Source organism: Homo sapiens, chromosome 1 (genome assembly GCF_000001405.40).
Source record: "Homo sapiens chromosome 1, GRCh38.p14 Primary Assembly".
Classification (NCBI taxonomy): Eukaryota; Metazoa; Chordata; class Mammalia; order Primates; family Hominidae; genus Homo; species Homo sapiens.
Window position 1 is genome coordinate 228,296,613 of NC_000001.11, and position 25,933 is coordinate 228,322,545.

The window sequence follows — 25,933 nt, forward strand, 5'->3', positions numbered from 1 at the left end:
TGTAGTGGCAGTGGAAGCCCTGCTGATGCCTTTGGGGTCATTCTTTTATTTTGAAGGATAAGACATGTTTGCAGCCATATAGTGATATTAGCTCATTCTGTTGAATCCCAGAAGTCTGATAGCCTTCCTTCATTTTATCCCACCTCAATCCAGTTCACTCGAATCTGCTGGTATAAGATTATCAGAAACTGAGTTGGCCTCCCATGCAATTCATGGAGGTCCACACCATCAGACAAGAGGCTTTTCCAGATAACTGCATCTCTATTCCTGGCTTCTGTTGAGATGACTAATTGGATCCATAAATTGCACACCTGGTGCTTTAGCAAATGGTTGTCTAGCCACACCCTTGATGTTCTCTTCAGAACAGTTTCTCATTTTTTACCATGTGGTTAGGCTGAAGAATTTCCAAAGCTTCAAGTATTGGTTCCTTTTTTATTTACAATTCCTTCTTCAATTTATTTCCCTCCTCTTGCACTTTACAATAAGCAGCAAAGAGAAAACAGGTTTCATCTTCAACACTTTACTTAGAAATTTCCTCAACTAAACATGCAAAATTTTATTGTTTCTTAGTCCTACCTTCCACACACAACACAATTCGGACAAGTTCTTTGCCACTTAATAATGAGGATCGCCTTTCCTCCCCTTTTCAATAACCTGTTCTTTATTTCCATCTGAGGTCTGACCAGATGTCCATCTTTTTTAATGTCCATCTTTCCATGAACAGGTTGTTCACAGCAATCTAGGTTTTTTCCAACATGCACTTCAAATATCATCCAGCCTCCATCCATTACCCAGTTCCAAAGCCACTTCCACATTTTTAGATAATTGTTACAATGGCACCCTACTCCTGGTACCAATATTTGTGTTAGTTTTCTGACTAGATGTCTGAGGTGAAGTGTTATTAGGTTGACTTCCTCTGAGGCTTCTCTCCTTGGCTTGTTGATGCGGTCTTCTGTTTTTTCACATGGTCACTCCTCAGTGTGTCTCTGTGTCCTAATATCTGCTTTTTATAAGGACACCAGTCATATTGGAGTTGGGCACACCCTGACAACCTCATTTAACCTTAGTTACCACTTTAAAGGCCCTATCTTTAATACAGTCATGCTCTGAGGTTCTAGAGGTTAGGTTTGAATGTATTAATTTGGGGGGACACAATCAGACCATAACGGGGTAACCAGGGTGGGGCTTGCTCCATTGTACCTTGTGAGCTCTCACTTTGCTTAGAGTCAGGAGGGAAGAGAGGACAGCAGGTTGAAGGGTCAGAGGTGTGATGTAGAAGCCGCATCTGGAGTCTGTTGGGGGTTTTGGTGATTGAGCCAAGGCAATGTGTATCCAGTAAAGTCAGGACAGGAGCAGTGAGGTGGAGACAGCAGGTCCTTGTGTGGGCTGGGATGGTTGGCAGTGAGCCGAGGTATGCCCATGCATGAGCAGTGCTGGATGGAAGCCCTGCCTGGGATGGGTATCTCCTGTATGAGAATGGGAAGCAGGTGTCAGGACAAGGAGGTGCCTCCTGTGAGGCTGGAGAAAGAGAGAGAGAGAAGAGAGAGATGTATCACATTATTGCATATGTGGAAGTTGCAGGAGCCTGTCTTGCTTCCTAGTAATGATAGGACATGGGTAGGACAAGATGCCCTTTGAGAAGAGATCCAGGATGGAGCCCATCTCTCAGCCAATCTGCACCTCATAGGCAGAACACAGGAAGACCTCAGTCTCACATGGTCTTTGGTCCGCCTTATCCCATGTCTTCGAGATCTGCTTCTGTTTCCTTCCTAGATAATCAGGTTGCGTCCCTCAGATCCTCCAGAGGGTTTGATGGCTTCTGTCCATGTGACCCTTCCTAGCCCTGCCTGCACGATTCACTCAAGATCTGAAGACCAAGGAGGCCTCAGAAGGGGCCACAGCTACACTGCAGTGTGAGCTGAGCAAGGTGGCCCCTGTGGAATGGAAGAAGGGTCCTGAGACCCTCAGAGATGGGGGCAGATACAGCCTGAAGCAGGATGGGACGAGGTGTGAGCTGCAGATCCATGACCTGTCTGTGGCGGATGCTGGGGAATACTCATGCATGTGTGGACAAGAGAGGACCTCGGCCACGCTCACTGTCAGGGGTAAAGTCCATCTGTCCAGATCTGCGTTCTGGTGTCCAGTTGTTCACTTCTTGCCATCAATCTCTGCTCATTGCATGGTCTCCCCCAGACTGCCACACTCTTCACGTCATGCCACACTATCCCTTCCAGCTTCCTGGGCTGCTGAAGGAACCAGAAGAAACTCTCATCTACATCCAGATTCCCTCTCCTGTGATACTGTGGGCCCTGTTCTATTGGATTGTGTCTTGTCTTTCATCTTGTCATGTCCTATCTACCAGCGCTTTCCAAGGAATTTAATGTTCTTTGTGTTTTCTGACCCTCTCTGGCCCTGCATGGCAGATTCACGTTATCTCTGAGGCCTGAGGAGCCCACGAAGGGGCTCCTTCGTGGTTACTTCGTGATGTTACCAGGCTGAACAGAGGGAATCTACAGCCTGTGCTTGGCATACCCTGCATGTGGTCTGTGTCCAGTTGGGCTTTGTGTCTTCTCTGTGCCATCCATGTCCTGTCTCTTTCATGTGCTCAATGTAATTGTGTCCATGTCTTTCTGATCCCTCCACCAGCCCTGCCTGCCAGGTTCACAGAGGGTCTGAGGAATGAAGAGGCCATGGAAGGGGCCACAGCCACACTGCAATGTGAGCTGAGCAAGGCAGCCCCTGTGGAGTGGAGGAAAGGCCTTGAGGCTCTCAGAGATGGGGACAAATACAGCCTGAGACAAGACGGGGCTGTGTGTGAGCTGCAGATTCATGGCCTGGCTATGGCAGATAACGGGGTGTACTCATGTGTGTGTGGGCAGGAGAGGACCTCAGCTACACTCACTGTCAGGGGTAAAGATCCTATGTGGCCATGTGGGCTTGTGGCTTGGTGTATACACCTCTCTGTGTCACCACCTTCTGCCTCCAAATGTGGCACATCTCCTGTGGAAACCCTGTGATTGTCTGTCCTCTAACTGGGGCCCTCTAGGTATCTCCTGCCTCCCCTTCTCATCAGTAGATGTCCTCCTGCTCATGCATGTCCCTGTGTGTTCTCTGTGCCTCCTGGGCCATTTGCCTTCTCATTGTTTATATATTGCTCATCTAGCTATGGTCCTTTGGTGGTTTGTGTGGCTCCTTATTGGTGTCCATGTTCTGTCCGAAAAATCCTCCAGACAGTCTGATGATATCAGTGACTGTTTGGTCCTTCTCAGCCCTGCCTGCCAGATTCATAGAGGATATGAGAAACCAGAAGGCCACAGAAGGGGCTACAGTCACATTGCAATGTAAGCTGAGAAAGGCGGCCCCCGTGGAGTGGAGAAAGGGGCCCAACACCCTCAAAGATGGGGACAGGTACAGCCTGAAGCAGGATGGGACCAGTTGTGAGCTGCAGATTCGTGGCCTGGTCATAGCAGATGCTGGAGAATACTCGTGCATATGTGAGCAGGAGAGGACCTCGGCCACGCTCACTGTCAGGGGTAAAGACCACATGTGACCACCTGAGTGACTTCTGTCTTCCCCCACTTAACCCACATGTTCTGTGCTCTCCCAGTGTCTCTCAGTGTCGTTGACATTTTATTCAGTCACTCATCTTTGTGGTCCATCTCACAAATGCATGCTGAGGACCCACTTGGATGGCCTAATCTAGGGCCTGGGCATACAGACCCCAAGGGTGAATAGTGCAGGGTCCCCAGGTGTCAGGACAGGGAGAGCAGCAGGCAGGTGTCAGGGTCCAGGAGAGCTGTCTGGGGCCCCTGCCATCTTGCAAAGGCCTGTGGATGTCCACCAGCTCTTGAGCCTCAGGCATGGAGGTCAGGAAATGTATGTCCTTTGACAGACATAGCGATGGCTCAGGCCAGGCCCCTCTTCAGGCTGGTGAGTGTTCTGATTGATCCTTGTGGTCATTCCAAGCTTCTAAAGGAGTATTGTCTTCATCTGCTCAGGCTAACGTAACAAAGCACTGCAGACAGGGTGGCTCAAATAACACAGATTTATTTTCTCAGAAGTATGGGGCTGAAATCTCAAGATCAAGATGTCAGCTCCTCTCTTCTTGTAGACAGCTGTCTTCTCCCCATGTCTTCACATGGATGTCCCTCTGTGTGCATGTGTGTGTCCTAACCTCTTTTTATAAGAGCACCAGTCATACTGGATTTGGAACCACCCTAACAACCTCATTTTTCCTTTCAATGATTGTCTTTAAATACAGTGATATTCTGACGTGTACTGGGGGTTAGGACTTCAACATATGCATTTTTTCTGAGGCACAATTCAGACCATAACACTCCACCATCTGGATTCTCAAAATTCATGGCCTTCTCACGTGCAAAATATGTTTACTTCTTCCTAACAGTCCCAAATCTTAGCCCATTTCAATATCAACTAGTCCAAATCACCTCTAAATATCATCTGAGTCAACTGTGAGGGAGATAAAGTGTGACTTATACAGAGGCAAAATTTTTCTTCATCTGTGAGGCTGTGAAATCAGACAAGTTATTTGTTTTGAAGTCACAATGGTGGGACAGGCATAGGATGGACATTCTGAATCAGGGAGAAACTGGAAAGGAGGAATGAGTCACGGGTCCCAAGTAAGGTGTAACCCTAGCAGGACAAATATTATTAGGTTTTAAGGCTTTGGATTAATACCTAGTCCTCTCGACCCAACAGGGTTGCAACTCTACCCCCTCAGCCCTGAGTGGAGGTGTCTGGCTCTCTGTAACTGAGGAGGAGACAGCCTTACTTCCAGGCCTGTGCCCTCTACCCTCTGGTTATAATGCCATTCCTGTCAACTCCTGAACTAACTTTTGGGTCATTATTCCTTTTTCTTACAGAATATCTTGTTTATATCCATGTAGCTCTATTGGCCCATCCTGTGGATTCTCAGAAGTCTGACATCCTTCCTTCATTTTGTCCCATCTCTGTTCGAATCAGTTCAAGCTAGCAGCATTTCCTCTGGTATAAAGGTCTCAAAAACTTTGTCCCATGTGATCCATGTGGGTCAAAGCCACCAGACAAAAGAATTCTCCACAGATCTTTCCTTGATAATCTTATTTTTATTACTGGCTTCTGCTGAGAGGGCTGAATGGATCCATAAACCACACACCTGATCTGTTTAGCAAATGGTTGTCCAGTGTGGATATTCTCCCCAGAATAATGCTTTCTCATTTTTTTTTGCAGTATGTATAGCCTGAAAATTTTTCTGTATCTTCAAGCTCTGGTTCCTTTTTGCTTAACAAATCCTTTTTGAATTTATCTCTCTCCTCTCACATTTTCATATTAGAGAGAAATCAGGCTATGGTTTCAATTCTTTGGTTAGAAACTTCCTCAGGTAAATATATCCAATTTTGTTGTTTGCAAGTCCTATCTTCCACAAAACACTAGAATAAAATTTGACCAGGTTTTTGGCTACTTTATAACAGTGATTGTCTTTCTCCAGTTTTTAATAATATGTCCCCCGTTGTCATCTGAGGCTTGACCAGAATCACTTTTAACACCCATGTTTTCACCGACAATTGCTGCCTGCAAACACTGTTTTTTGGCATGCACCTGAAATATCTTTCAGCTACCTCCCATTACCGAGTTCTAAAGCCACATCCACATTTATAGGTATTTGTTCCTTTGGCACCCCACTCCTGGTACCAAAGTCTGAATTTGTTTGCTTGGGTTGCCATAAAGAAAGTGTCATAGACTGGGTGGTATAAATAACAGAAATCTATTTCCTCACCATTCTGGAGGCTAGATGGTTGAGATCCAGGTGTCAGTACGGTTGGCTCCTTCTGAGGCCTCTCTCCTTTGCTTGTAGACAGCCATTTTCTCTGTGTCTTCACTGGTCCTTCTCTGTTTGTGTCCTAATCTCCTTTTCTTATAAGGACAGCATTTATATTGGATTAGATACCACCCTTGTGATCCCATTTAGCATTAATCACCTCTTTAAAGGCCCTATCTCAAAAACAGTCATATTCTGAAATAGTGGAAGTTAGGACTTCAACATTTGACTTCTGTAGAAACACAACCCATAGCAGTCTATGGCTATGTAATTGGGTTAGGCCCTGCTCTGCTAACTTGTGAGCCCCCTGCCTGGAGTCAGGAGGCAAGAGAGAATGGTAGATTGGAGGTTCAGAGGTGTGGTTCAAGGCCACATCTGGTGTCTGTCATGATCTAGGTGATATGAGTCAGGGTAATATGTGGGAATGTGGATTCAGTAGGGTCAGTCTAGCAGTATGTTGGATGGAGGTAGCAGGGCCTTGTGTGGGCTGGGATGTTGTGCGGTGCGCCAGGTATATCTAGGCATGGGCACTGCTGGATGGAAGCCCTGTCTGGTCAGGCTATCTCTTGTGTGAGGGATGACAACGGGGCAGTGGATGTTGGGACCTGAAGGTGTCTGCTGTGTCATCATAGAGAGATGTCCATCACATTATTGCATATGTGGGTTGCAAGTTGGAGGAGCCTGTCTTGCTTCCCCATAATGAAAGTTCACAGGTAGGATAAGATGCCCTCTGAGAAGAGATCCAGGATGGAGCCCATCTCCCACCCAATCTGCACCTCACAGGCAGAATGCAGGAAGTCCTCACTGTCAAATGCACTTTGGTCCGCCTCATCCCAAGTCCCTCCAGCCTTCCTGCTTCTGTTTTCTTCCTGGATGTTCAGGTGTGTCCCTCAGATCCTCCAGAGGGCTTGATGGCTTCTGTCCATGTGACCCTTCCTACCTCTGCCTACCCAGTTCACTCAAGATCTGAAGACCAACGAGGCCTCAGAAGGGGCCACAGCCACATTGCAGTGTGAACTAAGCAAGGTGTCGCTGTGGAGTGGAAGAAGGGACCTGAGACCCTCAGAGATGGGGACTGTGTTCTCTGTTCCTGGGCCGTGTGCTTTCTCACCATCTGTATATTCATTTGCTTATTCTGCCATGGTCCTGTGGTGGTTTGTGTGCCTCCTTGTGTGTGTCTGTGTTCTGTCCACAGAGTTGTCCAGTTAGTCTGATGATCTCAGTGTCTGCTTGGTCCTTTCCAGCCCTGCCGGCCAGATTCATAGAAGATGTGAGAAATCACGAGGCCACAGAAGGGGCCACAGCTGTGCTGCAGTGTGAGCTGAGCAAGGCGGCCCCCGTGGAGTGGCGGAAGGGGTCTGAGACCCTCAGAGATGGGGACAGATATAGCCTGAGGCAGGACGGGACGAGGTGTGAGCTGCAGATTCGTGGCCTGGCTGTGGAGGACACTGGAGAGTATTTGTGTGTGTGCGGGCAGGAGAGAACCTCAGCTACACTCACTGTCAGGGGTAAAGATCCTGTGTGGTCACATGGACTTGTGGCTTGGAATCTAAGTGTCTCTGTGTCACCACCTTCTACTTCCAAATGTGGCACCCCTGTGGGAACCCTGAGGTTGTGTGTCCTCTAACTGGGGTCTTCTGGGCATCTCCTGCCTCTGCTTCTCCTCATCAGGAGATGTCCTCCTGTTCATCCCCATCCCTGCGTGTTCTCTGTTCCTCTTGGGCCATGTGCTTTCTCGCCTTCCGTACATTCATTTGCTTATTCTGCCATGGTCCTTTGGTGGTTTGTGTGGCTCCTCGTGTGTGTCTGTGTCCTGTCCACAGAGTTGTCCAGACAGTCTGATGATCTCAGTGACTGCTTGGTCCTTCCCAGCCCTGCCAGCCAGATTCATAGACAACATGACAAACCAGGAGGCCAGAGAAGGGGCCACGGCCACACTGCACTGTGAACTGAGCAAGGTGGCCCCTGTGGAGTGGAGGAAGGGACCTGAAACCCTCCGAGATGGGGACAGACACAGCCTGAGGCAGGATGGGACCAGGTGTGAGCTGCAGATTCGTGGCCTGTCTGTGGCAGATGCCGGGGAGTACTCGTGCGTGTGTGGGCAGGAGAGGACCTCAGCCACACTCACGATCAGGGGTAAAGATCACATGTGGCCAAGCAAAGCCATGTTCTGGTGTGCCAGTATTGATTTCATGCCATCCGTCTCCACTCATTCCGTGTTGTCTCCCTGTGTCCATGTCATCCTGTTCCCATAATTCCCCAGAATCCCTTCCAGCCTCCCGGACTGTTGCAGAAACCAGGAGAAAGCAGCATCTCTAGCCAGCTCCCACCTGTGTATCAGCATGGGCTCAGTCACATTGCCCTGTTGGGCTCTATGTCTTGTCCTCCATTCCCTCATATTCTGTCTACTGAAGTGCTCCAGATGATCTGATTTCCATGTGTGTCTGGCCCTCTTCAGCTCTATATGTGCCAGATTCATATAAAGACTGAGGTGTGAGGAGGCCACAGAGGGGGCCATGGTCATGTGCTGTACAGCCTGGACTGAGGGAAGCCACAGTGCACAGCCTGTGCTCAGCACATCCCGATGTGGCTCATGTCCATTTGGGTTCTGTGTCTTTTCTGTGTCATCCATGTCCTGTCTCTTCTGTGGGCTCAGAGGCATGATTGTGTCCATATCTTCTGACCTCCCCAGCCCTGCCCGCCAAGTTCACAAAGGGTCTGAGGAATGAAGAGGCCACAGAAGGGGCCACGGCTATGTTGCAGTGTGAGCTGAGCAAGGTGGCCCCTGTTGAGTGGAGGAAGGGACCTGAAACCCTCAGAGATGGGGACAGATACAACCTGAGGCAGGATGGGACCAGATGTGAGCTGCAGATTCATGGCCTGTCCGTGGCAGACACTGGGGAGTACTCATGTGTATGTGGTCAGGAGAAGACGTCGGCCACTCTCACTGTCAAGGGTAATGACCACACGTGGCCACATGGACTGATGTGGGTGTGTGTCCTTCCTCTGTGTGCAGTTGCAGGCACCGCACACCTTCTCCTTGTGGATGCTCCTTTCCTCTTCCTCCTGCTGTTTCCTCTGTCCCCTCTGCTCATGGGTTCCAGCGTTATCCTGTGCCCTGGTGTCTGTACTGAGCTTCAGCCATGTGACCTTGTGTACCAGTCATGGTTGTAGGGAAGGAATTCCCACCTTGTTTCCCTCCCACTGCCTCCCATCACCACCTAATCAATCCAACTTTCTGCCATCCTTCATTTGAGACCTGGAGTCTTTTAGCCACAGGGTCTCATGTCCTTCTCGGAGGGAGGCCTCTGGCGCCCAGGAAAGGGAGGCAGGACCTAGAGCCCTGGGCCCTGCAGGCTGGCCCTGGTTCTCAGTGTAGCCTTGTAGGGCAAACAGCCCCTGTGGCACTTGAGGGTCTAAGGGAACCTGGTCCCTGCCCTGGAGTCTGGGGGACACGGCCCTGTCCTGGGGTCTGGAAGACACGGCCCCACTCTGGAGTCTGAATACACATCCCTGCCCTGGGATTTGGGTGCCCACAGAAGGGAGGTGGAACCTATAGCCCTGGGCCCTGGCCTCGCCCTGGGATCTGGGGGACTCAGCTCTGCTCTCGGGTCTTGGGTACAGGGCCTCACCCTGGGTTCTGAAGTACACATCCCTGCCCTGGGCTCTGGGGTGTGTGGCCCTTTGGGGGCTGGGTGGGGGGGGCCCTGGGTGAGAGGACAGCCTCCTAAGCCCTGGGTAGATGTAGCCCCTCCGTGCTTTCCCACCACACTGCCTCCTCACTCCTGAATCACAGACTGGTGGTCCCCAGTACCATCTGAGGCAGCACTGCCTGTGGAGCCAGGCCAGGGAGCTGGGAGGAGCCCAGGCCCTCATCTGCTGGCCTGGAGAGTGATGCCTGGTATAGATCTGGAGCTGACCCTGCCCCCTGCCCCCTGCAGCCCCACAGCCAGTGTTCCGGGAGCCGCTGCAGAGTCTGCAGGCGGAGGAGGGCTCCACGGCCACCCTGCAGTGTGAGCTGTCTGAGCCCACTGCTACAGTGGTCTGGAGCAAGGGTGGCCTGCAGCTGCAGGCCAATGGGCGCCGGGAGCCACGGCTTCAGGGCTGCACCGCGGAGCTGGTGTTACAGGACCTACAACGTGAAGACACTGGCGAATACACTTGCACCTGTGGCTCCCAGGCCACCAGTGCCACCCTCACTGTCACAGGTGGGCTCCCAGGCTAGCGTGGCCCAGGATATAGCGCAGTTCTTGTGCTTTGGGCGGACCCTCGGGGCTGCCTTCCCACCTGGGGCTCCCAACTGAGACGGCTCCACAGGGTGGGGGTCCTACCTGCCTTGAGGCCCTGCCTCCTTCCTCGTAGCTGCTCTGATGCGGTTCCCCCTCCCCACTCTGCCATGCATTACACCTGTTAGTTCCCCCTTGTAGCTCCTCAGGGACCTGCCCTCATGCCCTGCTCCCTCCCCTGCAGCTGCGCCTGTGCGGTTCCTCCGAGAGCTGCAGCACCAGGAGGTGGATGAGGGAGGCACCGCACACTTATGCTGCGAGCTGAGCCGGGCGGGTGCGAGCGTGGAGTGGCGCAAGGGCTCCCTACAGCTCTTCCCTTGTGCCAAGTACCAGATGGTGCAGGATGGTGCAGCTGCAGAGCTGCTGGTACGCGGAGTGGAGCAGGAGGATGCGGGTGACTACACGTGTGACACGGGCCACACGCAGAGCATGGCCAGCCTCTCTGTCCGTGGTGAGCTGCTCACCAGCCCCTGCCTCCCACAGCCCCTCATTCTTGGTCAGCGGCAAGGGGCACTAAGCATCCCTTCCTGCATACTCCGCAGTCCCCAGGCCCAAGTTCAAGACCCGGCTTCAGAGTCTGGAGCAGGAGACAGGTGACATAGCCCGGCTGTGCTGTCAGCTGAGTGATGCAGAGTCGGGGGCCGTGGTGCAATGGCTCAAGGAGGGCGTGGAGCTGCATGCGGGCCCCAAGTACGAGATGCGGAGCCAGGGGGCCACGCGGGAGCTGCTGATCCACCAACTGGAGGCCAAGGACACGGGCGAGTATGCCTGTGTGACAGGCGGCCAGAAAACCGCTGCCTCCCTCAGGGTCACAGGTGAGTGGTGGGGCCTCCCAGAGGAGAGGGTGAGCCTGCCATCCCACTCCCTTATGGTTGCCTTCTGGGTGCACCTGAGTCCCCTGCTCTCATGCTGTCTTCCTCCTCACCCCTGCACCTCCCGGTGTACCTGTCAGGGCTCTCTGAGAGAACCTGGGCAGCAAGGAAACAGGCTGCAGCCCCTCAAGCCCACCCCTGAGGCCGGTGTGTGGGTGCCCTGCTGAGCCCCCACCTGTTTCTTCTGCAAGCCTTGCCTCCCTGCTGTGCTAGCCAGGGAGGAGCTGGCTGCAGTGTGGGAGTAGACAGGCAGTCGAGTGTCCCACGACCCCTTCCCATTCCTGAGACACAACTGCCCTCTTGGCCCACACCTCCAGCCCAGTTTCTGTCCCCAAAGAGCTCAGTGTCATGGCGGGATCTGTGCTTGTGAGCACTTCGGGACAAAAGCCATGTGGGACAGATGGGCTATGGCAAAAGAGTGTGAGAGTGCCCAGGAAGGCTTCCTGGAGGAGGGGGCGTGGGATCTTGGCCTGGGTTCTTTTACTTGGCTGGTAAAGGGAACCATCTCGCCCCACCCCTCAGAGCCTGAGGTGACCATTGTACGGGGGCTGGTTGATGCGGAGGTGACGGCCGATGAGGATGTTGAGTTCAGCTGTGAGGTGTCCAGGGCTGGAGCCACAGGCGTGCAGTGGTGCCTACAGGGCCTGCCACTGCAAAGCAATGAGGTGACAGAGGTGGCTGTGCGGGATGGCCGCATCCACACCCTGCGGCTGAAGGGCGTGACGCCCGAGGACGCTGGCACTGTCTCCTTCCATTTGGGAAACCATGCTTCCTCTGCCCAGCTCACCGTCAGAGGTAGCCACAGGCGGGCCCCACCAGTGACTGCATGGGGTGAGAATGTCTGGGCCCTGCTGGATACGGAGACATACGGCAAAGGTTCCTGCCTTTGGAGGCTGGGGGCCTGGCAGGGAGGTGGACCTGTGAGCTGGCATTTCAGGGCGGCCCTAGGATGTCAGAGGAGAGTGGGCTGAGCCAGGCTGGTGGGGCAGGTTGTCTTGGGCTTCCAGTAGGCTGACACAGTGTTGGAGTTTGGGTCTTGGCCCTTGCAGGGGGGCCACTTCAAACCATAGCCCACTCCCAGCCCTCAGTCATCTGCACCATCTCCTCTAGTTCTCACACTAGTCCCATTTACCCACCTGTCATCCATCCTTTCGTTCATCTGTTTATCCATTCACCCATCCATCCACCCATTCACTATCCATCCATCCATCATCCATCCATTATCCATCGATCCATCCACAATCCATCTATTTATCCACTGATCAGCCATCCATCCATCCACCCATTATCCATCCATTCATTCTTCCATTGATCCATTCACCCATCCACTGTCCATTAGAGAAGACTCTGCCTGCAACTGGAATGGGGAGCTGAGAACAGGCCCCCATGTGCATGTCTTTGTGCACTAGGGGAGGATACCCAGGGATGGACTCCTGGGACGATGAGACTGGGTTGATTGAGGGGGCACCTCAGACGCTGAGGCTGACACCCATGCCTCCCCTGTGTCCAGCTCCTGAGGTGACCATCCTGGAGCCCCTGCAGGACGTGCAGCTCAGTGAGGGCCAGGATGCCAGCTTCCAGTGCCGGCTATCCAGAGCTTCAGGCCAGGAGGCCCGCTGGGCTTTAGGAGGGGTGCCCCTGCAGGCCAACGAGATGAATGACATCACTGTGGAGCAGGGCACACTCCACCTGCTCACCCTGCACAAGGTGAGGCCTCTGGGACCTGAGTGTACCAGGATGGGGATGCTTCCAACTCCATTCAGAAAGGCCTTCCACAAGGGGGTTGTGCTGGGGAGGTGATGAGCTCCTGTCATTGAGGTCTGGCAAGCTGACTGGGCTCCTTCTGGTCGGGATGGGGGCTCCCAGGGCCAAGCATGTCTCTCCCTGCTTCCTAGGTGACCCTTGAGGATGCTGGAACTGTCAGTTTCCACGTGGGCACGTGTAGCTCTGAGGCCCAGCTGAAAGTCACAGGTGGGCAGCCCCTTTCCACACTGGTCGCTCTGCCTGCAGATGCCCAGTTTCCTGGGCACCAGCACAACCTACCCAGTGGCAGCTGTCAGCGGGCAGGGGGCAGAAACCCAAGACTTCCAACAGTGATCTTGTCTTGGGGCTGGCAATTTTCCAACCCCTGGCCACTGAAGCCATGGACCAGAGAGGTCACTGGGGGGTAGGCTGGTAGAAGTAGTCTTGAGAAATTCCAGGGTGTGTGTAGGGTCCCTGTCCAGGATTAATGCCACCTGCGGGAGGGAGATGGGGGGCCCAGCTGCCATAGGCTTGGGCCCTAAGGTGGAGGCAGGACCTTCCTGACTTCCACCCTCCAAACGCCTACTCCTATGATATGGATGCACGCACATGCCAAAGCATCCATGTTTATACACATCTGCATGCCTGGACAGGCTCAAAGGTGCAGATGCAAAAGCATGCCTATGACAAGTATATGGATTTGGGCAACCATGCAAACAAGATTTTAGGAACCTTCAGCTTGGCTCATACCTTGCCCCCAGAGCTGGTCATCCCTGAGTGCTAGTTCTTGAGTGCTCTTCCCCTACTGTCCTACCTTTAGGTCTCAAACGGGTCCCATCTGTGTACTCATCATCCATCTATTCATTCATCCATTTATCCATTTACCTATCCACCTTCCACCCATCTGCTATCCACCATCCATCCATCCATCCATCCATCATCTGTCCATTCATCTATCATCCATCCTTCTATCGTCTGTCCATCAATCCATTCATAATCCATCCATTCATCCATTTATCATCCATACAGCTACCATCCATCCATTCACCATCCACCATCCATCCATTCACCATCCACTCATCCACCATCCATCCATTTACTATTCATCTATCCATCCTGCTGTTCATCCATATATCCATCCATCGGCCCATTCACACATTCACCATCCATACATCATTTATACATCATCCACTCATCTATTCATTATCCATTCACACACCCACCATCCATCCACCCACCCACTGATCCATCCGCTATCCATCCATTTACTATCCATCTATCCATCCACTGTCCATTCACCCATCCTTCCATTCATCTACCATCCACCCATCCATCCATCTACCATCATCTACCCTTCCCCCATCCACTCATGTATTCATCACTCACTCATCCACTATTCACCTATCTTTTCATTCATCCACCACCTATCCACCATCTGTCATACATTCACAATCCACTTGCTATCCATTCATTCACTGTAGAATATACCCTCTAAGCTCCTACCCTTAACCAAGTCCTGAACCTCATGATGGGCCAGATGCAGTCTGCCTTCAGGGGGTCTCCAATCTGTTGGAGGAGTTGGACATGGAGATAGTGTGTCCTTCATCCTAGATGCCACCTCCCACTCCCAAGTCCTTAAAAGGAGACAGATGCAGTCAGTTCTGTTGCCTGTGGGTTTGGGAAAGGTTCCAGATGCTAGTGCCCTCAAGTTGAGTGATGAAGACGGGAAGTTTCCCAGGTGTCCTGAGCAGGGGCAGGATAGCAGGGGCCTGGTGTATTCATCAGAGTGGGCAACTGTATGGAGCAGCATGGAGCTGGGCTGTGCTTTGGCCCCTCTCTAGGTGAGGTATTCTCAGCCTGGGTGAGCTGGCTCATGTACAGACACCTGGCTATGACCTTTTGGTGAGGGCCCTGGCACAGGTGTGTAAATGGGTGCCCATCCCAGGCCCAGGTAGGTGTTGTGGTGGAAGAGCTTGGGAACTTGCTGGAGACAAGAATGAAGAGTTGGTGGGGCAAGATGAGGAGGTGGTCAGATGTGCACTTGGGGAAGACAGTCAAGGGAAGATTGGGAGCTGGTGCTGGGGTGTCAGTGGTGCACACGAGGAAGCGCACGGAGAGGCTTCCAGTGGAGGGCCTGCTTGGGTGGGCACAGGGGCTGATTTGCCTGGTGTTGTCCTGATGGGTGGCTGGTATCTCTGTAAGTTCTCCCTACTCACGCTTCCTCACCCCATAGGATGGAAGTGTCTGGGCTTTGCCAACTGCAGTTTCTCTCTCTTTGTGAGGAGGCTCACAGGATGGTCTCAGAAAGTTTCTTGGGCAAGCAAGGATGGAGGGCATCTCTGTTGCCCGATCCCAGGCAGCAGGTGGTGGAATAAGCCTTTGGTTCTGTCTTCCTCCCTTGCCTGTGGGGTGTGGGGTTCAACTCTGTGGGCAGCAGTAGCCTGGGCACATTCTCCTATCTGCCGTGACCACCCTGAGTTTCCATCTGAGAAGTGGGTGGGAGGGAGGAGGAGAGTGTGGAAGGCACAGGGCAGGCAGTGACCACAAACATGTCTGGGAAGCTCCTTGAGTTTGGGCCCTGCTGTGTGACCAGGCAGGGAGCAGTTGCCACTCAACATAAGGGCCCTGGAATTCTGGGCTGAAGGGACCTTGGAGGACATCTGGACAGAATGCCCTCTTGGGATGGGAGAAGCGTCCGCTTCCACACCCCCAGGGACAGGGAACTCACTTTCTGAGGTGAACTCCCATCCACTCACAGTAGCAGGCCCTGTGGCTTCTCCTTCCCAACCCACATTGGGTCAGATAAGGCACCAAAGGCCAGAAAGAACTCCAGCCATGGGGCTTAGAGCTTGTCCATTCTGCCTTCTGAGAAGGGCACGTGTGCCTGTCATCAGCCTCCTGTGGGTGAAACCAGGCATGTTCTGAAGGGGTGTGTGGGGGTGCGGGTCTATGAGCTGGGGCTGAGCCACTCTCCACAGGCTCACTGTGGGTGGCCTCTGTGTCTCCCTCTGTGATCAGGGTGGGCCAACTTGCCTGGGTGGATTTCTATTCCCTAACCCTAGGTCACCCTCCTGGTCTGGGTGATGTCTGCTCTGGCAGACCCGAGGGTGGCCCCTGTACCAGTTACTAGCCCCGAGGCTATTCTAGCAAGTCCCACTTTTGGTGGGGGTGAGGGGACAGGGTCTCCTGCTGCCTAGGCTGGAATGCAGTGATGTGAACATAGGTCAGTGTAGCCTCCACCCCCTGGGCTCAAGCGATCCTCCCACCGCAGCTTTGCAAGTAGCTGGGATTACAGGCACATGCCTCCACAGGGTCTCACTATGTTGCCCAGGCTGGTCTTGAACTCCTGGGCTCAAACAGTCCTCCCACCTTGACCTCCCAAAGTGCTGGGATTACAGACATGAGCCATGGTGCCTGGCCAAGTCCCACTTCTGACACCAATTCTAGAGAACAACACACTCACTGTTTTTCTCCTATTATACTCTCACAGCACAGAACACTCTGTGACCAGATGTGTGGGGGCCAAACACCAAGCAATTCTCTAGCAGACAGCAACTGGCTGTCCACACTTCAATTCAATTCTGATACTTTCTATGTGGAGTTAGAGTCAGATTTCATAGATGAAGAGCTCAGTCCCACAAGACTGCCCCACTTCAGATGCCAGTGGGAAGTCCCAAGCCACCCACACTTCTGACTGAACAGCTATGAAATGGGGTTCCCACTACCCCTCCTTGAGTTTGATTAACTTGCTAAGACAGCTCCCAGAATTCATAGAAATACTTGTATTGAGCAGCTGTTATAAAGGATACAGCTCAGGAATAGCCATGTGGAAAAGATTTAAAGGGCAAAGGATGGGGGTGGGGGTGGGCATAGACCTTCCATGTCCTCTCTGGGCGTGCCATGCTCCCAGCACTTGCATATCTTCACCAACCTGGGAACTCATCAAATCTCATTTAAGAGCTTTTATAGAGCATAATCTCTGTTCCCCTCTCCCCTTCCTAGAGGTGGGAGGGTGGGAAAATTCCAACCCTCTGAACACTTGGCCTTTCTAGAGGCCCATTCTGATGTTGTCCAGGACCCCTACCTGAGTGACCTCATTAGCATAAACTGAGATGTAGTCAAAGGAGTACATTATGAACACTCAGGAATTTCTGAGGGCTTTAGGAGCAGAGACACAATCTATTCTTGTGCCACACCCCCACACCAGTGAACCCTAAAGTAGCCCAGTCCTGTGGACTCCAGGGTGTCCCAGCCTCGCCCTCCTTCTTACCCTCTTGTGCAGAGGCAGTGCCGTGCCTGGTACGTGGCTTGCAGAATGTGGATGTCTTCGCGGGGGAGGTGGCCACGTTCTCCTGTGAGGTGTCTCACGCGGGTGGGCCGGAGGCCCGCTGGTGGCTGGATGGGACCCTGCTACAGGATGGCCCCCAGAGCGCCATCGCTGTGCGAGATGGGATCTTTCACTCCCTCATGCTCTCGGGCCTGGGGGTGGCCGACTCCGGCACTGTCATCTTCCGCGCAGGGCCCCTGGTCTCCACGGCCAAGTTGTTGATCAAAGGTATTGGCCGATGGGAACCTCTGCCATGCTGGCACTTTTGTATGCTTCCTGCGGGCTCCTGGGATCAGGAATTGGCCCCCAGGGCCACAGAGTGGGCACCACTCTATGCATGCTGTCTGCCTGCAGTGGCACAGGTGGGCATGGAGGGTGGATGAGAAGTCTGGGCTTAGGGAGTGGTATAGCTGGACACCAACCTGTGCCCTGCTGGCTACCACCTTGCTGGCCGCACGTGCCCAGCCATGAAACCCAGTCCCTTGTGAAGGCAAGAGCAGCCCCTGCTGAGCCTACCCCTGCTGTCACCTGCTTCCTCCGCTGTGGGCTCAGGCTGGGTTTCTGCCCTTCTGGGAAAGAGCTGGCCGTATGGGAGCCCCCTACCAGTGACTCACATGGTGCCTTTGTCCCCTGTGCGCCCTCAAAGAAAATGTGGAAGGTTCACCTGGGTCCTGGGGCAAACAGCCATTTATGGAGTAGGATTTGGACAGTGGAGATGGGACGGGGACCCCAAGAGAGATGGCAGAGTCCTTGCAGAAGGGGCGAGCTGGGCTGGGGCTCTGGCTCCTGAGCCAGGGCCAGAGGGCATGGGGTAGGGGGACTTTGGAGGGTGTGTGTCCCTGTTGGGGCCATGTGCCCAGGGCTAGAGGGAGGTAGGGGCAAAGGGGACCAGGAGGGGCCCCCCTGAAAAGAGACCAAGCCTGACAGTGCTATCTCCCATGGGTGGGGGTGAGGTGTGTCTGCAGTGGATAGCCCTGGGCTGTCGTGGTGGGCCCCCTTCCCTGGGCCATGTGCCAGATGGTCACTGCTCTGCCATTGCCTGCCACAGCTCTGCGCTTACTGCCGCTGAAGCCTCTAACACTGACAGCAGAGGGTGGGATGGCTGCGGTGGCTCAGCTCCGGGGGCTGACATGTGTCCGGCATGTTGGCCGACAGATCCCGTGGTGGAGGTGGTCAGTGCCATGCAGGACTTGGCCGTGGAGGAGGGTGGCTCGGCTGAGCTCCTCTGCCAGTATTCACGGCCCGTGCAGGCCACGTGGAAGATGGACGAGCGGGAGGTGCACACGGATGGGCACCGTGTCATCATAGAGCAGGACTGGAACGTGGCCAGGCTGACCTTCAGGCCGGCCTTGCCCTGTGACAGTGGCATCTATTCTTGTGAGGCTGCGGGCACCCGCGTAGTGGCCCTGCTGCAAGTGCAAGGTGAGGCCGCCTGGTGAGCAGCCCTAGGCCCGGGGCAGCTTTGGCACAGCTTGGGCTGTGCAGTGATAGTGGAATGGCAGGCAGTGTCCGGTGGCGCTGGGACACAGGTGGCTCGGACAGGTGGGAACAGGCCCCGTAGGTGGCAAGCTCGCTGCACCAGGAGCTGAGCTGTGAGTAGGCACGGCATGCACAGCTGCTGAACTTGTGGCTTCCATGAAGAATGTGTGGCCAAATTCAAGACTCCTACACGTGAACCCACAAGAGAATGAGAAAGGGAGGGGAGAGCGGAGGGCAGTGGATTAGGGAGGAGGTCTCTGGTTGTTGTGAGTCTGAGCATGGCATTCCAGGGACCAGGCAGCAGGTCTGGTAGCTCTGTTGGGGGGTGCAGAGAAAGGGGGATGTTCCCAGACCGTGAAGCTGCAGCAGGGCCATGGCGGGTAAAGCATGGCTCTGAGCCTCATGGCTGTGTTTGAGCCTGGTTGTGCGGTTGGCGAGTTTCTAGTCTTGTGAACACCTGTGAGGTTTCTCACCTGTGAGGTCAGAAGCCCAGTGCCAAAGTGGGCAGGGCATAGTGGTGGTGGTGGGGGGTGCTGGGTGACCACAGAGGCAAGCATGGGTGGCTCCACCCTGGACGCTGAGTGCCCACCTCCACATAGCTTCTGGGGAGGGGGCATTTTGTTTGGCTCTTTGTAGTTTTCAGGGCACTCCCAAGGGACGTGGGGACCCTGGAAGCGCGGGCATGGTCTGATCCTCCCTCTCCCCACAGCCAAGAACACGGTGGTGCGGGGGCTGGAGAATGTGGAGGCGCTGGAGGGCGGCGAGGCGCTGTTCGAGTGCCAGCTGTCCCAGCCCGAGGTGGCCGCCCACACCTGGCTGCTGGACGACGAACCCGTGCACACCTCGGAGAACGCCGAGGTGGTCTTCTTCGAGAACGGCCTGCGCCACCTGCTGCTGCTCAAAAACTTGCGGCCACAAGACAGCTGCCGGGTGACCTTCCTGGCTGGGGATATGGTGACGTCCGCATTCCTCACGGTCCGAGGTGACTGCGCTGTGCTGGTGCAGGGTGGGGTCAGATCCTTCCCACTAGAGACTGGGGTAGGCGGGCGGCAGAGGGGGCGGGGCTGCGGGCTGCAGCTGCAGAGGGGACGTCAGTCTCCGAGACCCTCCCGCAGGAGGCTGGGCCGCCGGAGCTGCAGAGGGGCTGAGGCCCTGGGAGCGGCACAAGGGGCAGGGTTCGCCAGGGGCCGGCCCATCCCACCTGAGGCCGGGAGCCACCCGCTTCGCAGTGGGTAGAAGCCCCCGGGGCCGAGGCCCAGGAAGGGTGGAACGGTGTGGGGCGCCGTGCGCTGAGACCAGAGGCTCTCCGGAGCCAGGAGGGGGACCTGTTGGTCTCTGGGACCCACAGGAGGCTGGGTTGAAGGCAGGCAGGACTGGGGGCCAGATGAGAGGTGTCTCTCGCAGGAGGCTGGGCTGTCTTCTGGAGAGGGGCTTGCTGGGGCCGCAGGTGGGGAGCTTCGGCCTCCCAGACCCCTCCCACCCACGCAGGTGGGACGAAGCGAGGGTATGAAGCCCAGGCCCTCCCTGCTCCGGCGCTTGCCCTCACAACCCTTCCTTGGGCACATCTGCAGGCTGGCGCCTGGAGATCCTGGAGCCTCTGAAAAACGCGGCGGTCCGGGCCGGCGCACAGGCATGCTTCACCTGCACGCTCAGCGAGGCGGTGCCCGTGGGAGAGGCGTCCTGGTACATCAATGGCGCGGCAGTGCAGCCGGATGACAGCGACTGGACTGTCACCGCCGACGGCAGTCACCACGCCCTACTGCTGCGCAGCGCCCAGCCCCACCACGCCGGGGAGGTCACCTTCGCTTGCCGCGACGCCGTGGCCTCTGCGCGGCTCACCGTGCTGGGTGGGTGGTGGGCGAGCTTTTCCCTCCCCTGCAGGTCGGGTCTGGGGCGCGCCCCGCCTCCAGAGCTTGCGAGTGCGTGGGTGACCATCCTGGGCTGGGTTCTGCAGCATCTGCCCACTCCAGAGCCTGGGGTTGACTGCCTGCGGATATGGGCCTGACCATGGGAGTCTGGGAGGCTGCTCTTGGCCAGGCATAACCATGCATGAGCCTACCACCCTGTGGATTCCTAAGGCCAAGGTCCCTTCATCCTGCCCCATCTCCCCCTCAGCTCCCCGGACTCCTAATGCAGATCTGAGCCCAGCTCTGGGGAGACAGGAGGTACAGAGACTGCCAGGGGCTCTCCATGCTGGGTGGGCTCTGGGCACATATAGTCTCCATGTGACATGCACCTGCAGCCAGTATCAGAGCCCAGTGGCTTCCAGAGGGACTGTTGGTGCCGACAGGGAGCCACCCCCCTGACCAGTCCCCCTTTTCCCCAGGCCTCCCTGATCCCCCAGAGGATGCTGAGGTGGTGGCTCGCAGCAGCCACACTGTGACACTGTCTTGGGCAGCTCCCATGAGTGATGGAGGCGGTGGTCTCTGTGGCTACCGCGTGGAGGTGAAGGAGGGGGCCACAGGCCAGTGGCGGCTGTGCCACGAGCTGGTGCCTGGACCCGAGTGTGTGGTGGATGGCCTGGCCCCCGGGGAGACCTACCGCTTCCGTGTGGCAGCTGTGGGCCCTGTGGGTGCTGGGGAACCGGTTCACCTGCCCCAGACAGTGCGGCTTGGTGAGTTGCTTCATTGGGGTCTGGGGAGTTCACAGCCCCCACAAGCTGGAGGAGGGAGGGATCCCCGGGAGTGGGGCCTGCACCCTGGGTGCATCTTTGCTGATGGGGCCTGTCCTCTGTCCGTGGACGCTGTTCCCCAGCAGAGCCACCGAAGCCTGTGCCTCCCCAGCCCTCAGCCCCTGAGAGCCGGCAGGTGGCAGCTGGTGAAGATGTCTCTCTGGAGCTTGAGGTGGTGGCTGAGGCTGGTGAGGTCATCTGGCACAAGGGAATGGAGCGCATCCAGCCCGGTGGGCGGTTCGAGGTGGTCTCCCAGGGTCGGCAACAGATGCTGGTGATCAAGGGCTTCACGGCAGAAGACCAGGGCGAGTACCACTGTGGCCTGGCTCAGGGCTCCATCTGCCCTGCGGCTGCCACCTTCCAGGGTGCGTTGTCCCTGTCCTTCCAGGTTCCAGGGTGGGGAGCTCTGGTGTGGGGGTGCAGCTTGGCCTTCCTCTCACAGGCTCTCTCAGGGAAGGGCTGAGGGTCCTTTTGAGGACCCCATCACATGGGAGAGACTGAGGCTCCACAGGGAGATGCGGCAAACCCCATGTTGCAGAGCCTTGATGGCGTAGGCCAACCTGCCTGTCCCTGAGCAGGTCCTGGGTGGTGCAGCCCTTGGTTCTCCTATTCTGGTCCCTTTAAGCTTCTGGGCCCCTGCACACAGACATCCCCTGTACTCTGAACCCCCTGAAACCCCCGGTGCTCTGATCCCTCCCACACTCTGAGGCCTGTTCCCTGAACTCTGAGCCTAATCCTCCCTGCATGGCAGCCAGCACCCCCATAAGTCTAGGCGCTCTATCCCAGAAGCAGGGCCAGAAGGGCTCAAATCAGCCCAATTTGCTTTTGCAGAGTCCTTTCCTGTTCCGGTCATCACATACCCTATGCAGGGAGGTAGACTGAGGCCTCACTCAAAGTGGGGGAGCTGAGGCTCAGGGGCTCTGAGACTTGCAAAGATTGTGCCATCTGAAGTAGCTAGTGCCAGGTGGGGAGAGAGGCCTAGCAAGGCCACAGCCCAGCTGCATACTGATAAGCAGCTGAGGTCTGGGGTGATGGCTCTGAACTAGCCCACTGACTAGTCTTTTGCCTTCCTCAGTGGCACTGAGCCCAGCCTCTGTGGATGAGGCCCCTCAGCCCAGCTTGCCCCCCGAGGCAGCCCAGGAGGGTGACCTGCACCTACTGTGGGAGGCCCTGGCTCGGAAACGTCGCATGAGCCGTGAGCCCACGCTGGACTCCATTAGCGAGCTGCCAGAGGAGGACGGCCGCTCGCAGCGCCTGCCACAGGAGGCAGAGGAGGTGGCACCTGATCTCTCTGAAGGCTACTCCACGGCCGATGAGCTGGCCCGCACTGGAGATGCTGACCTCTCACACACCAGCTCTGATGATGAGTCCCGGGCAGGCACCCCTTCCCTGGTCACCTACCTCAAGAAGGCTGGGAGGCCAGGCACCTCACCACTGGCCAGCAAGGTGAGCCCCCCCAACTTGGCCTGCAAGGAGAGGTCTGAGACCTTCATCATCTATCCATCCATCCATCCCTCCATCCACTATTCATCCATTTGCCATTCATCCACCCATCTGTGCATCTACTCATCTATCCATCTTTTCTTCCATTCATCCACTCATCTGCCATTCATCCATCTATCCATGCATCCATTCGTCCATCTTTCCTTTCTTCCTTCCATGTATCCATCCATGCATCTTTCTGTCCATCCATTCATCCATACACCATTCATCTATCCATCCATTCATGCATCCATCCACCATTCATCCACCCATCCATGCATCCATCCATCCATCCACCATTCATCCATCCATCCATGAATGCATCTTTCTAGCCATCGTTCATCCATCCATCCACCATTCATCTATCCATCCATCCATGCATCCGTCCACCATTCATCCATCCATCCATGCATCCATCCACCTGCCATCCACCCATCCATGCATGCATCCATCCACCATTCATCCATTCATTCATGCATCCATCCATCTAAACCACTCATCTACCCATCTATGCATCCATCCATCCATCCTTCCTTCCATCCACCCATCCACCCATCCACCATCCATCCATCTATGCATCCATCCATGCATGCATCCACCCATCCTTTAATTCATCCAACTGCCATCCATCTCTTCAGGCAACCGTTTTTCCATCCTTCCATCCTTCTACCTAATCAATCCATTTATACATCTGTCTTTGCTTACTTTCATCTGTTTATGCATCATCCATCTACCATCCATCCATCCATCCATTCATCCATCCTTCTATCCATCCATACATGATCCATCCATCAGTGCATGCATTTATTCTCTTCTGTCTGTCCACCATCCATCCTTCAATCCATGCATCTGTCTATTCTTCTATCTATCCATCCATCCATGTATCCATTCTTCCTTTCATTCGTTCATCCATTCATGCATTCATTCTTTCTTCTTTTCATCCACCCATTTATTTATGTGTCCATCTTTGTTTCCTTTCATCTATTCATCTGCCATCTATTCATCCATATGTTCATCTTTCTTTCCTTTCTTCCATCTATCCATCTATCCATCCACCATCTATCCATCCATGCACACATTCCTCCTTCCATCTAGTCATCCATCCACCCATCTGCCATCTACATACTCATCCATCTATCATCTATTCACCATTCTGCCATCTTTCCGTAATTCTTCCATCCATGCTTGTATCCATTCATCATCCATCTACCATCCTTCCATTTGTCCATGTATGCTTCCGTCCGTCCTTGTTTTCATCTATTCACCCATCCTCCTATCTGACATGCATCCATCTACCCACTATCCATTCATGTATCTACTCACCATCCTGTTATTCATCCATCTACCATCCACCCACCATCCTTCCATTCCATTCCATTCATCCATCCATCTACTATCCATCTGCCACTCCTGCACCTGTTCACCTGTTCATTCATTTATCTGTCAGCCTGTTTACCCACCTATACAACCATACAACTCCATCCATCTGCTGTTTATCATCCATCCACCTACTCATTCACCCATCCATCCACCATTTGTCCATGATCTATTCCTGTACTTGCTCACCTGTTTGTCTGTTTATCTGTCAGCCTGTTTCCATACCACCATCTGTCTAACCATTCACTTATCCACCAGTCACCCACCCACTCACTCATCCATGCAGCCATCCATACACCTGTTCTCCCATTCAACCATCCATTCATCGATGTATCTCTCCATCCACCCTGCATCCATCCATTCATATACACATCTGACAGTTAAAACTTTTGCCTGAAAAGTTGGAACTGGTCTCTTTATGGTGTTCTTCACAACCCTGTTCATCCTGGTCTGAGTTACTGTGTAAAGCGATTTCCAGGAAGTGGGCTTGCTTTTTGGAAGGTGCTGTCAGACATCTAGGTCAGTTGAAGCTAGAGTGGGTCCAATTGGTAGGAGGAAAAAGGGCATACTGGAGCAAGACCTGGAGCTGCCCCTGCCATGTGCTTGACACCTGTTGTGCCCTGTTCCTGGCCTCAGATTCCCTATCTCACCATGACGTCAGGCTCTGTGCCCACAGGTTGGGGCCCCAGCAGCCCCCTCTGTGAAGCCACAGCAGCAGCAGGAGCCACTGGCTGCTGTGCGCCCACCACTGGGAGACCTGAGCACCAAAGACCTGGGTGATCCCTCAATGGACAAGGCAGCTGTGAAGATCCAGGCTGCCTTTAAGGGCTACAAGGTCCGGAAGGAGATGAAGCAGCAGGAAGGGCCCATGTTCTCCCACACATTTGGGGACACCGAGGCACAGGTGGGGGATGCCCTGCGGCTGGAGTGTGTCGTGGCCAGCAAGGCAGATGTGCGAGCCCGCTGGCTGAAGGATGGTGTGGAGCTGACCGATGGGCGGCACCATCACATCGACCAGCTTGGGGATGGCACCTGCTCTCTGCTGATCACTGGCCTGGACCGTGCTGATGCTGGCTGCTACACCTGTCAGGTGAGCAACAAGTTTGGCCAGGTGACCCACAGTGCCTGTGTGGTGGTCAGTGGGTCAGAGAGTGAAGCCGAGAGCTCCTCTGGGGGTGAGCTGGACGATGCCTTCCGCCGGGCTGCCCGTCGGCTGCACCGGCTCTTCCGCACCAAAAGTCCGGCTGAAGTTTCAGATGAGGAGCTCTTCCTGAGTGCAGACGAGGGCCCTGCAGAGCCAGAGGAGCCCGCGGACTGGCAGACATACCGCGAAGATGAGCATTTCATCTGCATCCGTTTTGAGGCGCTCACTGAGGCCCGCCAGGCGGTAACTCGCTTCCAGGAGATGTTTGCCACACTGGGCATTGGGGTGGAGATCAAGCTGGTGGAACAGGGGCCTCGGAGGGTAGAGATGTGCATCAGCAAAGAGACTCCTGCCCCTGTGGTGCCTCCAGAGCCATTGCCCAGCCTACTGACTTCTGACGCTGGTGAGTCTGCACACAGCCTTGGTCTGGGGTCACGAGCCAGGGTGCAGAGGCAGGGAGAGGCAGGGGAGAAGGATCCAGGCTAGTCGTAGCTAGAGTCTGCTGCAAGCTCAAGGGGTTACCTGTGCCCACCACTGGGCTCTTCGCAGGTGCAGCCCACTGAGGTGTGAAAAGCCCTGACTTTGAGGTTAAATAGAGCTGAATTTGAACTCCAACCCTGTCTCTTACTAGCTATGTGCTTTGGGGGAAGCTGCTTAGCATCTCTGTACCTCAGCTTTCACATCTGTGAAATGAGAATGGGAATGCAGTTGTACCTTGGTATACACAGAGGATG

The 25,933-nt window shown here is 54.7% G+C and overlaps 1 protein-coding gene across 4 annotated transcripts in view, besides 1 other annotated feature; it reads left to right on the plus strand.

The window, feature by feature from the left end:
- Window positions 1-25,933, plus strand: part of OBSCN (obscurin, cytoskeletal calmodulin and titin-interacting RhoGEF) — a 170,833-nt gene that overhangs the window by 88,569 nt on the left and 56,331 nt on the right. For 2 of the 4 annotated variants that reach the window (NM_001386125.1, NM_001271223.3), the window contains exons 49-66: window positions 1,842-2,105; window positions 2,647-2,910; window positions 3,270-3,533; window positions 7,063-7,326; window positions 7,691-7,954; window positions 8,511-8,774; window positions 9,760-10,026; window positions 10,289-10,555; window positions 10,647-10,919; window positions 11,499-11,771; window positions 12,487-12,683; window positions 12,872-12,947; window positions 19,235-19,507; window positions 20,097-20,372; window positions 20,852-21,139; window positions 21,280-21,561; window positions 22,272-22,642; window positions 24,732-25,602. In NM_001386125.1, the coding sequence (NP_001373054.1) occupies window positions 1,842-2,105; window positions 2,647-2,910; window positions 3,270-3,533; window positions 7,063-7,326; window positions 7,691-7,954; window positions 8,511-8,774; window positions 9,760-10,026; window positions 10,289-10,555; window positions 10,647-10,919; window positions 11,499-11,771; window positions 12,487-12,683; window positions 12,872-12,947; window positions 19,235-19,507; window positions 20,097-20,372; window positions 20,852-21,139; window positions 21,280-21,561; window positions 22,272-22,642; window positions 24,732-25,602 (5,298 nt within the window). The remainder of the gene's footprint in view (window positions 1-1,841; window positions 2,106-2,646; window positions 2,911-3,269; window positions 3,534-7,062; window positions 7,327-7,690; window positions 7,955-8,510; window positions 8,775-9,759; window positions 10,027-10,288; window positions 10,556-10,646; window positions 10,920-11,498; window positions 11,772-12,486; window positions 12,684-12,871; window positions 12,948-19,234; window positions 19,508-20,096; window positions 20,373-20,851; window positions 21,140-21,279; window positions 21,562-22,271; window positions 22,643-24,731; window positions 25,603-25,933) is intronic. The other 2 variants (NM_052843.4, NM_001098623.2) reach the window with 1 other exon arrangement.
- Window positions 18,707-19,581: an enhancer, noted in NCBI's record as "H3K4me1 hESC enhancer chr1:228503020-228503894 (GRCh37/hg19 assembly coordinates)". NCBI's record gives its function as "activates a minimal SCP1, AML or CMV promoter by ChIP-STARR-seq in naive H9 embryonic stem cells {active_cell/tissue: H9 hESC(naive)}" and the evidence as "EXISTENCE:reporter gene assay evidence [ECO:0000049][PMID:30033119]".